The sequence below is a fragment of the Homo sapiens genome, chromosome 10 (genome assembly GCF_000001405.40).
Source record: "Homo sapiens chromosome 10, GRCh38.p14 Primary Assembly".
Taxonomy (NCBI): domain Eukaryota; kingdom Metazoa; phylum Chordata; class Mammalia; order Primates; family Hominidae; genus Homo; species Homo sapiens.
The window spans coordinates 12404058-12417044 of NC_000010.11; the positions used below are offsets into that span (position 1 = coordinate 12404058).

The 12987-nt window shown below is 45.3% G+C and overlaps 1 protein-coding gene across 7 annotated transcripts in view, besides 2 other annotated features; it reads left to right on the forward strand.

Moving 5' to 3' along the window:
- Positions 1-12987, forward strand: part of CAMK1D (calcium/calmodulin dependent protein kinase ID) — a 485999-nt gene that overhangs the window by 54511 nt on the left and 418501 nt on the right. The gene's annotated exons all lie outside the window — the stretch shown is intronic.
- Positions 961-1010: a silencer, noted in NCBI's record as "silent region_2145". NCBI's record gives its function as "represses an Ori minimal core promoter by ATAC-STARR-seq in GM12878 lymphoblastoid cells {active_cell/tissue: GM12878}" and the evidence as "EXISTENCE:reporter gene assay evidence [ECO:0000049][PMID:35858748]".
- Positions 1141-1250: an enhancer, noted in NCBI's record as "active region_3041". NCBI's record gives its function as "activates an Ori minimal core promoter by ATAC-STARR-seq in GM12878 lymphoblastoid cells {active_cell/tissue: GM12878}" and the evidence as "EXISTENCE:reporter gene assay evidence [ECO:0000049][PMID:35858748]".

Sequence of the window (12987 nt, forward strand, 5' to 3'; positions counted from 1 at the left end):
TTTTTGAGACTGAGTTTCGCTCTTGTTGCCCCAGCTGGAGTGCAATGGTGTGATCTCACCTCACCGCAACCTCCGCCTCCCAGGTTCAAGTGATTCTCCTGTCTCAGCCTTCCCAGTAGTTGGGATTACAGGTGTCCGCCACCGCGCCCAGCTAATTTTGTATTTTTAGTAGAGGTAGGGTTTCTCCATATTGGTTGGGCTGGTCTCGAACTCCTGACTTCAGGTGATCCGCCCACCTTGGCCTCCCAGAGTGCTGGGATTACAGGCGTGAGCCCCTGCGCCCGGCCTTATTTGAGCTTTTCTAAAAGCAAGAAATTGAGGAAGAAACTCCTAACTGGGCAAATCCAGACCTTTTCTTAGTATCTTCAGAGAATATACAGTTGTGTCTAATTCTTTTTGGAAATATGGTATGCCTTATAAATAGGTACACCTTAATTAGTTGCAAAGATTTAAACAAGTGTAGGAAAGCTAGGAGAGAAAGCTGTTTGTTACTGTTCATTATGTATTGTACAGGGTGATGCTGAGATTGAGTTATTCTTGGTATGAATAACTTCCTTTGAAAGTTAGAATGATAGAGTTTTAGAACGTAAGGGACCTTAGATTTTAATCCGTAATGACCAAGAAAACTGTGTTTTTAAAAATTTTTTTTTTTTTTGAGATGGAGTCTCACTCTGTCACCCAGACCGGAGTGCAGTGGCATGATCTCAGCTCCCTGCAACCTCTGCCTCGTGGGTGATTCTCGTGCCTCAGTCTCACGAGAAGCTGGGACTGCAAGCATGCGCCACCACACCTGGCTAATTTTTGTATTTTTAGTAGAAATGGGGTTTCTCCATGTTGGTCGGGCTGGTCTTGAACTCCTGACCTCCATCCGCCTGCCTCAGCCTCCCAAAGTGCTGGGATTATAGACATGAGCCACCGCGCCTGGCTGGAAAACTGTATTTTTGAGCATTAAGTAATTTCCTTTAAATTTTTGTTGATAAAGGAGAGACCCAGCTGCCAAAGAGGCTTCTGTTCTGGGGGTAAGACTGGTCACTGCATGTTGAATTGACATCATTCAACCAAATGTGGTTTAGCCTGAGCCATCGTATTGTGGGTAAATGTGTAGTTTCTGTTGTGTCTTTGGAAATTCTAAAAATAGGCACTCCCCATACCTCCTTCTGGGGGTTTCCACAGCTGGCTTCAGCCCAGCCAGCTCATTTTGCAGACCTAAAGCGTTTAAGTTCCATGCCCATGGTCAGAGATGTGGGGACTTTGTAAAGTAATATTTCATCTCTAGTGCAGACATAATGCCCAGGAAACAGTTGCACTCATCAGCGAGCCTCGGAGTCATGTTCTTTATGGGTGACACAGTGATACAGCTGTAATATGCACCATGTTCAGTCCAGAGACAGGCAGTGAACTAACGAGAAAACTCCGCTGTTTGCTTAGACTTTCTGTGTATTGACTCAATGCCCACATTACTAAGCGCCCGTCTTTAAAAATTAGCCACAGTCTAGCACGTATAAACAGATAGGACAATTAACACCTGAAATTGTCTTGTTATATAAGTGAAACCAGTGAAACGTCATTAATCAAGACCCTCATACATTTGGAATGCCAAGTGACAGTCAACAGGGTTAGACCGAAGTTGGCTGGAGCCAGTATCTATGAGACAGGAGTTTGTTGAGCAAACCCGTGATATCAGCATGACATGGTCATATTGTTTAATCTGCTTTACAAGAACAAACACTTAGCTTTAATATTGGCATGCGTTGTTAAACATTTATTACAAGTACTTCTTATCAGGACCAACGAGACTTCTGCTTAGCAATAATTTGCCAGCCCTTTAAAGTTGTTTATGAATTTCAGAGCACTTAAATGGCGTTTTTATGTGAAGGTTTTGAAATCGACGGGAGAAAGGGCAAATGCGAGCATCTGATTTGTTTGTACCAGTGCTGCTTGGAAGAGGACTGGGCTTTGAGGAGACACTCAGCATTTCTTGTCGCGTGTAGGATTGAATGGGTGCATCAATCAAATGGTGCTGGGATTAGCGGTTGGCTTGTTGGGAAGAAAACAGCTCATTGTGTTTCTCAGTGGCAGTTCCATTGGCACCACAGCCAAGATGATCTTTCCTTGCTCAGGTTTGTGCTGTGCACTCCGGACATTCAGCTTCCCTGACTCCTACCCCGTGGAAGTTTGTTTCTGACTTGTTTCCAGATACCCCTGGGGAAACAGCTCCCTCCCTGGTTCAGGACCGTCATGTCGCGCCAAACACCAAAACAAATTCCAGGTATTAGAAAGTTCAGTGTAAAAACCCATAAAACAAGAAGAAAATACTAGTTAATATCTGGCAAAAGCTTTTTATTGTTATTGTTTTTTTAATTAAGCTGTTGGCCAGATGTGGTGGCTCATGCCTGTAATCCCAGCACTTTGGGAGGCTGAAGTGGATCATTTGAGCTCAGGAGTTCGAGACCAGCCTGGGCAACATAGGAAGACCCTGTCTCTACAAAAAACAAAAAACAAACCCTCCACAAAAATTATCAGGGCATGGTGGTGCAAGTCTGTAGTCTCAGCTGCTTGGGAGGCTGAGGCACAAGAATTGGTTGAGCCGGGGAGGCGGAGGTTGCAGTGAGCCAAGATCACGCCACTACACTCCAGCCTGGGTGACAAAATGAGACCCTGTCTCAAAAAAAAAAAAAAAAAAAAAAAAAAAAAATCAAGGTATTGAACTCTGTAAAGTCATGCGTCCAAATCTCCCTGGGCATCCTCCATTGCTGCGTAATAAGTCTGTGCCTCCAGTTGTCCTTATGTGGGCTATTCTAGCTCTTTCCCTTACAGTACAACTTGTTCCCCATTTTCTCTGACCTTTTATAGAGGAGATCGAGGCCACCTAGGGTGACGTCACTGCTTCACATCTTGATACCGCAGACTTGCTTTCTTTCTAGGGAAGGCTCCCTCTGCTGCACTTCCAAGAGTCCTGCTCCTTCAGACCCCACCCCCATGCCAATTTCCATTTTGCCTTCTCCTCTTCCTCTGTCCCTGCTGCCTATCACCCTCCTTATACTGTAAAATGCCCCTCTCATCTCCATCTTCCTGCACAGCCACCCTCCAGCCTCTCTCATGCCCTGCGTTCATGGCCAGACCTCTCCATGACTTCTTTCAGTCCAGGCTTGAGGAACCCAGGGCAGGAGGCCTGGCAGGGCGGGCAGAGCCGCCGTGAGGACTGGACTCAGTTGCCCATGGGATCCTGTCACCCAGCCCCAGCTTAAAACCCAGAAGCTCCCACTGCCAGGGGAAGGGAACTCCAGGAAATCATACCAGCCTTCCTTTTCACATTTCTTTCCTCACCATCCCCTACCTCAAGCTAGAAGTTTCCTTCTCACTGAAGCGTCTCTGGGAACGCCCCCATGGTTGCCTTCTCCCCCATCCCTGTCTGCTCTGCTGAGCCACAGTGTTGTCTTCTCTGACTCTAGGTCCCTTCTCTCCAGCTCCCTCCTCCATTACTTCATGGTAGCCCCTTCTTCTGGAAGCCTCTCTGAGACCCTGAGGGCAGGGAGTAACCAGCTCCTGCAATACAGTCTTCATCCAAGGATGGAGAAAGAGCTGGTTGAGCTGGTTGATTGAATATGAAATCTAGGAGGAGATTTACTTTCCCATTTCCAGCTGTGGTCCAAGTTGACCAGCATCATCCAAATAGGTGATTTGCTTGAGCATTTTACAATGATTCAAGCTCTAGGTACTTCCCCCCCGGGAAACACATATCCTGGGAAAAATGAAAACAAATTCCTCCTCAAGGGTGTGATTGGCTGACTCTTTTTTTTTTTTCTTTTTTTTTTTTTGAGAGAGACTCTCACTCTGTCACCCAGGCTGGAGTGCAGTGGTGCAATCTTGGCTCACTGCAGCCTCCACCTCCTGTGTTCAAGTGATCCTACTGCCTCAGCCTCCTGAGTAGCTGGGATTACAGGTGTGTCCCACCACGCCCAGCTAATTTTTATATTTTTAGTAGAGACGGTGTTTTACCATGTTGGCCAGGCTGGTCTCAAACTCCTCACCTCACGTGATCCACCCACCTTGGCCTCCCAGAGTGCTGGGATTACAGGCATAAGCCACCGCGCCTGGCCTCTTTCATTTTCTTTTTTTTTTGAGATGGAGTCTCGGTCTGTTGCCCAGCCTGGAGTGCAGTGGCATGATCTCGGCTCACTGCAAGCTCCGCCTCCCGGGCTCACGCCATACTCCTGCCTCAACCTCCCGAGTAGTTGGGACTACAGGCGCCCGCTACCTCGCCCGGCTAATTTTTTTGGATTTTTTTAGTAGAGATGGGGTTTTGCCATTTTCACCATGTTAGCCAGGGTGGTCTCGATCTCCTGACCTCGTGATCCACCCGCCTCGGCCTCCCAAAGTGCTGGGATTACAGGCGTGAGCCACCGCACCTGGCCTGACTCTTTCATTTTCAATGTTGTGTTTGAGACACCACAACTATGATTCTGCAAGGCACAGTCATGAAAATATTGGAACCAAAGGTGGGTGCATCTCCAGTCTTTTCCTTGAGAATTGTTTCTTTCCAGTGCACGTTGTGTGGGTGGTGGTGGGGGTGGTTCAGGTTCAGGTGGGTGTGGCCAGCGGAGGTGTGGGAAAATTTGCTGACTCCAGGATTAGCAACGTGCAAGGCCCGCTTTCTCCTCTTGGATGCTGCAAACAGTACGTGGTCTGTGATGTGCCCACGTGTTGGCATTTCCCTGTATGCCTCCTTGTCAGGTGATATAGGCGTCTTTTTCCTCTTTTATGGTTTTCGTTCATTTCTTTCTTTCTTTCTTTTTTTTTTTTTTTTTTGTTCTGAGTCGGAGTCTCTTTCTGTCGCCCAGGCTGGAGTGCAGTGGCGCGATCTCAGCTCACTGCAACCTCCACCTCCCGGATTCAAGCAATTCTCCTGCCTCAGCCTCCCGAGTAGTAGTTGGGACTACAGGCGTGCACCACCATGCCTGGCTAATACTTGTACTTTTAGTAGAGACGGAGTTTCGCCATGTTGGCCAGGCTGGTTTTGAACTCCTGACCTCAAATGATCTGCCTGCCTCAACCTCCCAAAGTGCTGGTATTACAGGCGTGAGCCACTGCACCCGGTTTTTGTCCATTTTTTACCTTCTCCATTCCTTATTTACCTACTTTATCCCCTCGTTCTGTAATCGTGTATTCAGCACCACGTTTGAGCAGGCACCGAGACCCCTCATGGTCCCTATTACGGTGGACTTGGCGCCTACACTCATGATTGGGAGAGGAAGTGGGCTCTGGGCTCTGAAAATGACTACAGATGAATAAGTTACACATTGTGATAACGGCTGTGATAGAGGATAGAGGGGAAGCAGGTGTATGCTGTTCTAGACAGGGTGGTCAGGAAGCCCCCAGTGCTACTTGAAATCTCTCCTTTTTCTTTTTAGTGGCGGGCTCTTGCTACGTGGCCCAGGCTGCTCTTGAACTCCTGGGCTCAAGCCATTCTTCCGCCTTGGCGTCTGGAGTAGCTAGGACTACAAGTTGACACCATCACACCTGGCTGAAAAATTTTCTTAAAAATAGCTTTATTGATGTATAAATTCAGAGATCATACAGTTCACTTCTTTAAAGAGTACCATTCTGTGTTTTTGGTATATTATTCTCCTTAAATTGTGGTAATATATAAAACACCATGTCTGCCATTTTAGCCATTTTTACTTGTAGAGTTCAGTGACATTAAGTACGTCCACAGCATTGTGCAATAATCTCCACTTTCTGTTTTCAAAATTTTTTCATCATCCCAAACAGAAACTCTGTACCCATTAAGCGGTAGCTCCGCAGTACCTCCTGTCTCACCACTGGTAACCTTGAATCTATTTTCTGTCTGTAAATTTGCCTATTCTCGGTACCTCAGAAATGGGATCATGAAATATTTGTTCTTTTGTGCCCGACCTCTTTCACTGGTACCCTGATGTCTTCAGGGCTTCTCTATGTTATAACATGGCTCAGAACTTCATTCCTTTCTATGGTTGAATAATATTCCATTGTATGGATATCACACATTTTGTTTATCTGTATTACTTGAAATCTTGATACATACTTTTTATTTTCTAAGCACTTCCCCATAATTCTCATCCGATTAGTTTGCCTGCCTTATTACTGGCAAATAATTTCTTGATTAATTGAATTTGCTAGCAATTTTGAACAAGATGATGGTGGTTACAAGGCAGAAATGCCATTTCCTGTTCTTTCTGTCTCTTTCTGTGTGTGTGTGTAACTCTGTATTTTCTTGAGTGTGTATCTCTCTGTGTGTCTTCTAAGTGAGGCCATCCAGTTGGTGCACTTGTCTGAAGATAATACAGGTGCAGGGGTGAAACTGCAGGGCCTTAGAACAGTTCGCCCCCTACCTCCTGAAGGTGTTGACAGGAAAAGCTAGCCTCGGCCCTCCATTACTCTCAGAGTCTGCTCAAGACAGACACAACTCTGTCTCCTTGTAATAAATGTGTCTCACAGAGCTAAAGCAATGCACAGAAGAAAGGACTTCTCTGAAGGCCTGCTCAGTTTATCAACAAAATTGATCAATTTTTGTTGTTTGTTTCACAGATCAATGAAGGACACATCCAGTGTGATGAGGCACTGGGGCATATATAGAATGTATTTGACAACAGATATTAGTTCTTTGTTAGCAGGAATGACACACGTTTAGCAGGAATGACACACGTTTAATGTTGTGACCAGAGGCAGAGTCATTCTAGATCTTAGGTGCGACCTGAGCTTTGTGGAGCCTCAGTTCTGTCTTGAAAGATATTCTTCACTCTGCCCTCTTTTATTGATTAATTTTAGGCAATCTCTGCGGGTATTTCCAGTGCTCTTGGCTTTTCTTGACTTTGTACTAATTGCCAAAGGCGGCAGAGGATGAGGACTTGTTGGGGTGGTCGTGTGTACCAGTGATGTTTCTAGAGAGTGCATGGTTAGCCTACACTCTTCCTGTCTTCACAGATCCCACCTCACGTGGAAATAGGTACTCAAAAATCCATTGTGCTTCTGTAATGGATTAAGCTTCGAGCCCACCCCATCGGCTCCCATCACATCAACTCACCAAACATTGGCTCAGGGAGTACCTGGGCCAGCCTGGGTGCCCACTAACCATCCCTGGGACGGGACGACCTCGACTAGCCCGCTATGTCATGTTTTCTTATTCCATGGGCATAAGGCTTGGCAGAATGCGGAGATTCTGAGCTCAGAAGTTTCTGACTTTTCCTTAAAAAAGAACTGAAACATTAGAGCTTTAGGCTGTGCTTCCACCATGCGGATCCACATTGGTTCCCATCTGTGTGGTCCAGCAGAAGCAGCTCCCTGATCACTGTGCAGGTTCCTGTGGCCGAGATGGTCGGCGTTTGGGTCAGGCGGCTCCCAGCACAGGAGTGGGAGCTGGCAGGAGTGCCCTGTGAGTGCCTTAATGAGATGCCACTGCATTCACCCTTCATTTGCCCTGTGCCGATGGAAAAAAAAATGGGTTTTCCAGTAGAAATGTACTGTAAATGATTATTCTAAGTTATAGCAATGGCCTACCTGGCTTCTTTTTTTTTTTTTTGAGATGGAGTTTTGCTCCTGTTGCCTAGGCTGGAGTGCAGTGGCGTGATCTTGGTTCACTGCAACCTTCACCTTCTGGGTTCAAGCGATTCTTCTGCCTCAGCCTCCCGAGTAGCTGGGATTACAGGCACCCACCACCACGCCTGGCTATTTTTTTGTATTTTTAGTAGAGACAGGGTTTCGCCGTGTTGGGCAGGCTGGTCTCCTGACCTCAGGTGATCCGCCCGCCTCAGCCTCCCAAAGTGCTGGGATTACAGGCATGAGCCACTGTGCCCGGACAAGCCTACCTGGCTTCATATGCTCCTCTTGTTGATAGTAGCTACAAAGTCAAGAATCAAAATAATGACTTTGAACAAAGGATAGAACATCCGCTGATGTCTTTACACCAGTCTTGCTTGAGGTTTGAGTCTATCAGCGTGGGCTGGTTTCTCAGGTGACAACTGGCCAGAGAGGCAAAGTAGAATATTGAAGACCAGGGCTCTAGTAACACAGATGTGTTCTTTTCCCACCATTTTACAGCAAATGGGGCTTTTCTTTTATCACAGTCCTCATCTCCTGGTGCCTCCTGCAACCCCACCTGTAGTGTGAGCTGGTGGCGTTGATGACTGTTGATGGGATGAATAGAGGGGAAGCTGTCCCCTGCCTCCGCTTCCCGTAGCCTGGCCCAGTGTGCTGGTTGCCCCTCTTTACAGCGACTAGAAAGAGAAAAGTGGGGCTGGGTGCGGTGGCTCATGCCTGTAATCCCAGCACTTTGGGAGGCTGAGGTGGGCAGATCACCTGAGATCAGGAGTTCGAGACCAGCCTGGCCAACATGGCAAAACCCTGTCTTTACTAAAAATACAAAAAAAAAAAAAAAAAATTAGCCAGGCGTGGCGGCACATGCCTGTAATCCCAGCTACTCGGGAGGCTGAGGCAGGAGAATCACTTGAACCCTGGAGGCGGAGGTTGCAGTGAGCCGAGATCGTGTCACTGCACTCCAGCCTGGGCAACAAGAGTGAGACGCCATCTCAAAAAAAAAAAAAAAAAGTCGAGATCGTGTCACTGCACTCCAGCCTGGGCAACAAGAGTGAGACGCCATCAAAAAAAAAAAAAAAAAAAAGAGTGGAACAGGTGTCCATTAAAAAGGAAACCAGTCTTAAGTTGTAGCAGATGCCTGGGGGGAGGCCGTGGTGAAGTGGGGTGTTTGGTACTGAGTTTTCTAGCCCCTTCCCTCTGCTTCTCTCAGATGAATCACTGGAGCATCTGTGCTTGGCCCTCCCGGGTCTTTCTGTCCCTGGAAAGGGTTCATGAACGCATCCTACTGCGTTTTGCCACTTGTCTTGTGGTGGAACTAAGATTCTGCCCTCACCCACTCTGGGTTTTATTCATATAGGGAGGTTCTGGGAGCCCCAATGTGGGTCCAGGCAGAATGGTGTGTATATTAGGCTGTTCTTGCATTGTTCTAAAGAAATACCTGAGACTGGGTAATTGATCAAGAAAAGAGGCTTAATTGGCTCATGGTTCTGCAGGCTGTACAGGAAGCATGGTCTGTCATCAGCTTGGTTTCTAGAGAAACCTCAGAAGCCTCAGAAGCTTACAGTCATGGTGGAGGGGAAAGGGGGAGCAGGCACGTTACATGGTGAAAGCAGGAGCAAGTGAGAGCGAGGCGGGAAGGGGAGTGCCACACACTTGCAAGAACTCACTGTCAGGAAGACAGCACCAAGCTGTGAGGGATCCGCTCCCATGACCCAGACACCTCCCACCAGGCCCCACCTCCAGCACTGGGGAGTACAATTCATCATAACATTTGGGCAGGGACAAATATCCAAACTTTATCAGTGTGTTAGAGAGAAGTCAGGCCCTGTTCTCTTCTCTGGGGTGTATGTTTTGTGATGATGGCGATGATGACAGTGGTGATGATGATGGTGATAATGGTGATGATGATGAGTATGATGGTGATAATGATGATGATGACATTGGGGATGATGATAGTACTGGTGGTGGTGATGATGATGGTGATGCTAATTATGGAAGGACAGAGAAATGTGGGTTTGAAGGAGAAGTTGCTAATTTGCTGGTGTTTGTGGATATTGAATCTCTGGATTTGGGATAGTTCTGATTTCAAATATTCCATTCCATTGTCATGCCATATATTTCAGACCAAAACTTTGCCATTGTTTGTTTGAAAAAAAAAGTCTGTTAGCCATATTTTCACAGTTTGGAGATGAGGAGCTTGGGCCTACCTGCTGTGAATTTGTCACTGGTATGCAGTAAAATGAGAAAGATAATGCAGTGGGGTTTTTAGAAATCCAAATGTATTAAATGGAAGGGCTTATCCCTTTTTCACCTTAAAATGAGGGTCTTTCCTGTTTTCTAACGATGAGATATCTTTTCTCTCATGAAATGGTGGTGACAGTATGGTAGTTTGGATGTACTGACCTTACTTGAAAAATTAAGATTTAGCAACTCTCATCCAGTTCCCTGATAGTTGGGAAAATTGTACAGCTCTCTGAAATCCAAAAATCTGAAAACCATAATATAATAAATGTGTAGTTTAGTTCTTTAATTTGAAATTTCCTCCCTCTAAAGAGGAGATAGAAGGAATGGAGATGGCGAAATAGGAGGCATGCGTTTATTAGTTTTGCTGAGTCTTGGATGTTTTATAACGTTTTCTGATGACAATTGCAGTAAACTTTCTGTGTTGCAAAAACCTGGTATCTTGTAGTAAAGTGAGTTTACAAAGAAGACAGCATTTGTGTACAGTAGCTATATTAGTTGTGACATGTTTCATCTTTGAAATTATCTTTTTCCTCTGTGGTTTTAGGGAAAAATAGCTGGGGAGAGTGGTTGGCTGGGAGGAACCTGGCTCGAGTTTCTGATCTGCCATGTTATCTGTCGTGTCTGAATTTCTCATAGTCAGTGGGAGATGTACGTTTTGTACAAGCATTTTGCATTTTTCAAACTTTTTACAGTTTTCTCGAGCCTCGCTGTTGGAATAAATTTAACACTAATGCCTACTTGTAGGCACCTTTCTGAAAATGTTCTGATGAGCTTTCATCATTGTTTTGGAATATTTTAGGCAAAGTGTTGAAGAAAATGTAGCAACTATTCCCATTAATTTGAATTTGGATCGTTTCCTTGAGACACGCTGTTTCTTAGTCATAGTGTCCTAGCTTTTTGCCTTGATTAGTTGAATGATTGATTGCCTTAATTCTCCATTTGGCTTGGCCTGTGTAGACATAGTTTTATTTGAGGTTTTTCAGATCTTGCTTGATGGCCAAATTCAGTTCAAATTAAGGAAATAAATTATGGAGAGTGAGTTTCTTTTCTGTTTTCAAAAGGTTCCATTTAACACTCGTTTGGAATTTCTTCGGGAAAAAAAATCTAGTTAACTCTCTTTGATTTTCTTTTATAGATCCGTTATGTTTCCCAGTTTGATTCTGTTACCTTCCCATGTTTATAGATTTTCCTCTTGTTTTCATGTGTCTGATTATTATAGTCAGGGCCACCTTTCTTAGTTCATTAACTTTCCTTTTCTTGAAGATTGCAGCTGCCTTTTTCCAAAGGGTTTCCAGTCTATTAATATCACTTAAAATGCATGTGATATTTCTTTTTAAAAACAAAGTGACTTAGGACATCTGCTAGCCATTTCCTTGAGTATCTTGGAGTATTTGCTGGTGATATATGTATTCTGTATTTATTTATTTATTTTGAGACAGAGTCTCGCCGTTGTTGCCCAGGCTGGAGTGCAGTAGCACGATCTTGGCTCACTGCAACCTCCGCCTCCCAGGTTCAAGCGATTCTCCTGCCTCAGCCTCCCAAGTAGCTGGCATTACAGGCACCCACCACCACGCCTGGCTAATTTTTTTTTTTTTTTTTTTTTTTTAGTAGAGATGAGGTTTCACCATGTTGGCCAGGCTGGTCTCAAACTCCTGACCTCAGGTGATCCACCTGCCTTGGCCTCCCAAAGTGCTGGGATTACAGGCATGAGCCACCGTGCCTGGCCCCCTGTATTTATATTTTCTGAAACTTGTTTCTTCCATGTTACATGTTCATGACTATTTTTCAAGGTCCTACTTCAAGATATTTTGTGTCATTATTCTAAAGTCAGTGCTAAGAAGTCACTTCCCTACGGAAGTGGATTAAAATTACGTTTTTTTTTTTTTGTCTTCTTTTAAAAAAAGATAGACATGGTTGATAATGAGATGGCTTTTTTTTTTCTTTTTTTCTGAGACAAGGTCTCGCTCTGTTGTCCAGGCTAGAGTGCGGTGGCACAATCACAGCCCATTGGAGCCTCGACCTCCTGGGCTCAAGTGATCCTTCAGCCTCAGTTTGAGCAGTTTGGCATATGTTCTGAATCTGAGGTTGATTATTATTCCTTTAGCGCTAGTATTACACTGAGACCTGGAAAAAAAGAAAAAAGAAAGCGAAAAACCATTCGCATTAGACTGTGGGCAGAAATATTTCTAACTATATGATTGTGGGTTAGTCTTGTGCTACGACGTGCAGTATTTCAGAATAAAAGGTGGTATATAGAATTCACTTTTTGGATATTATTCTTGTTTTTTTTTTAGCATCTACATTTTTTTTAGGAGATACAGAATAATCTCTTTAAAAAAACAGCGTTAACTATATTAATGGAGAAGTCGCTGGAAATGTCACTTCAGGTGGAAACATTTAGTGTGGATTTAACTTTTTATGGAATTATGCATGCAATGCCATTTGCATTTGCTGAGATTTTGTATTATTAATAGAATAGACAGATCAGCATTTTGTCGGTGTATGTAAAACTTTGCTTGTTTTTCCTGTCTTGATTGCTTGCTGGTTGCACATAAAATTTAGAGTTGGAAAAAGAGTGTAGCACAGAACAGGGGTTGGATGACTCAAGGGTCTCCGCTCCTGTCTCTGCTCTGCTGCAGCTCCGGCTGGAGGCCTTCATTTATAAACTGTCGGATGGGGCCAGGCCAAGAGTCCGTGCAGAAAAATCCCACAGTTGTGCCCTGGGGAAGCTGCTCATGGTGAAGGGCTTCATTTGCAGAGTGGAATTGCTGTAAGGCCGGGGTCTTGCTGAGCACCGGAGGGAGGGCTCTGACTAGCACTGGGCGGTGGAGAGAAGCAGAACTCACTTGCCATACTCTGTGTCAGTTTCCAGCAAGAGTGAAGTTCTGTTTTTCCGGTGGGTTCTGCCCTTTCCTTATCAGTTCAGCTGAGCTTACTCCAGGGCTTCCCCTTTGCTCCCAGCTTTCCAGGGCATGTTCTGCCAAAAATGAGCTTTGCCTTGGGTGTGTCTGATTGTGTTGTTGGTAGACTCCCTAAAAACCTTCCGGTGCTAGCGATGCTGTAGACGGCTGAGACCCATGGAGGTGGTTGTTAATTGTCACTGGGGGCCCGGGGTCACACTGCTTGGGCCTGCATCCCAGTTTAATGGTGGGACTTTGGACAAGGTTCCTC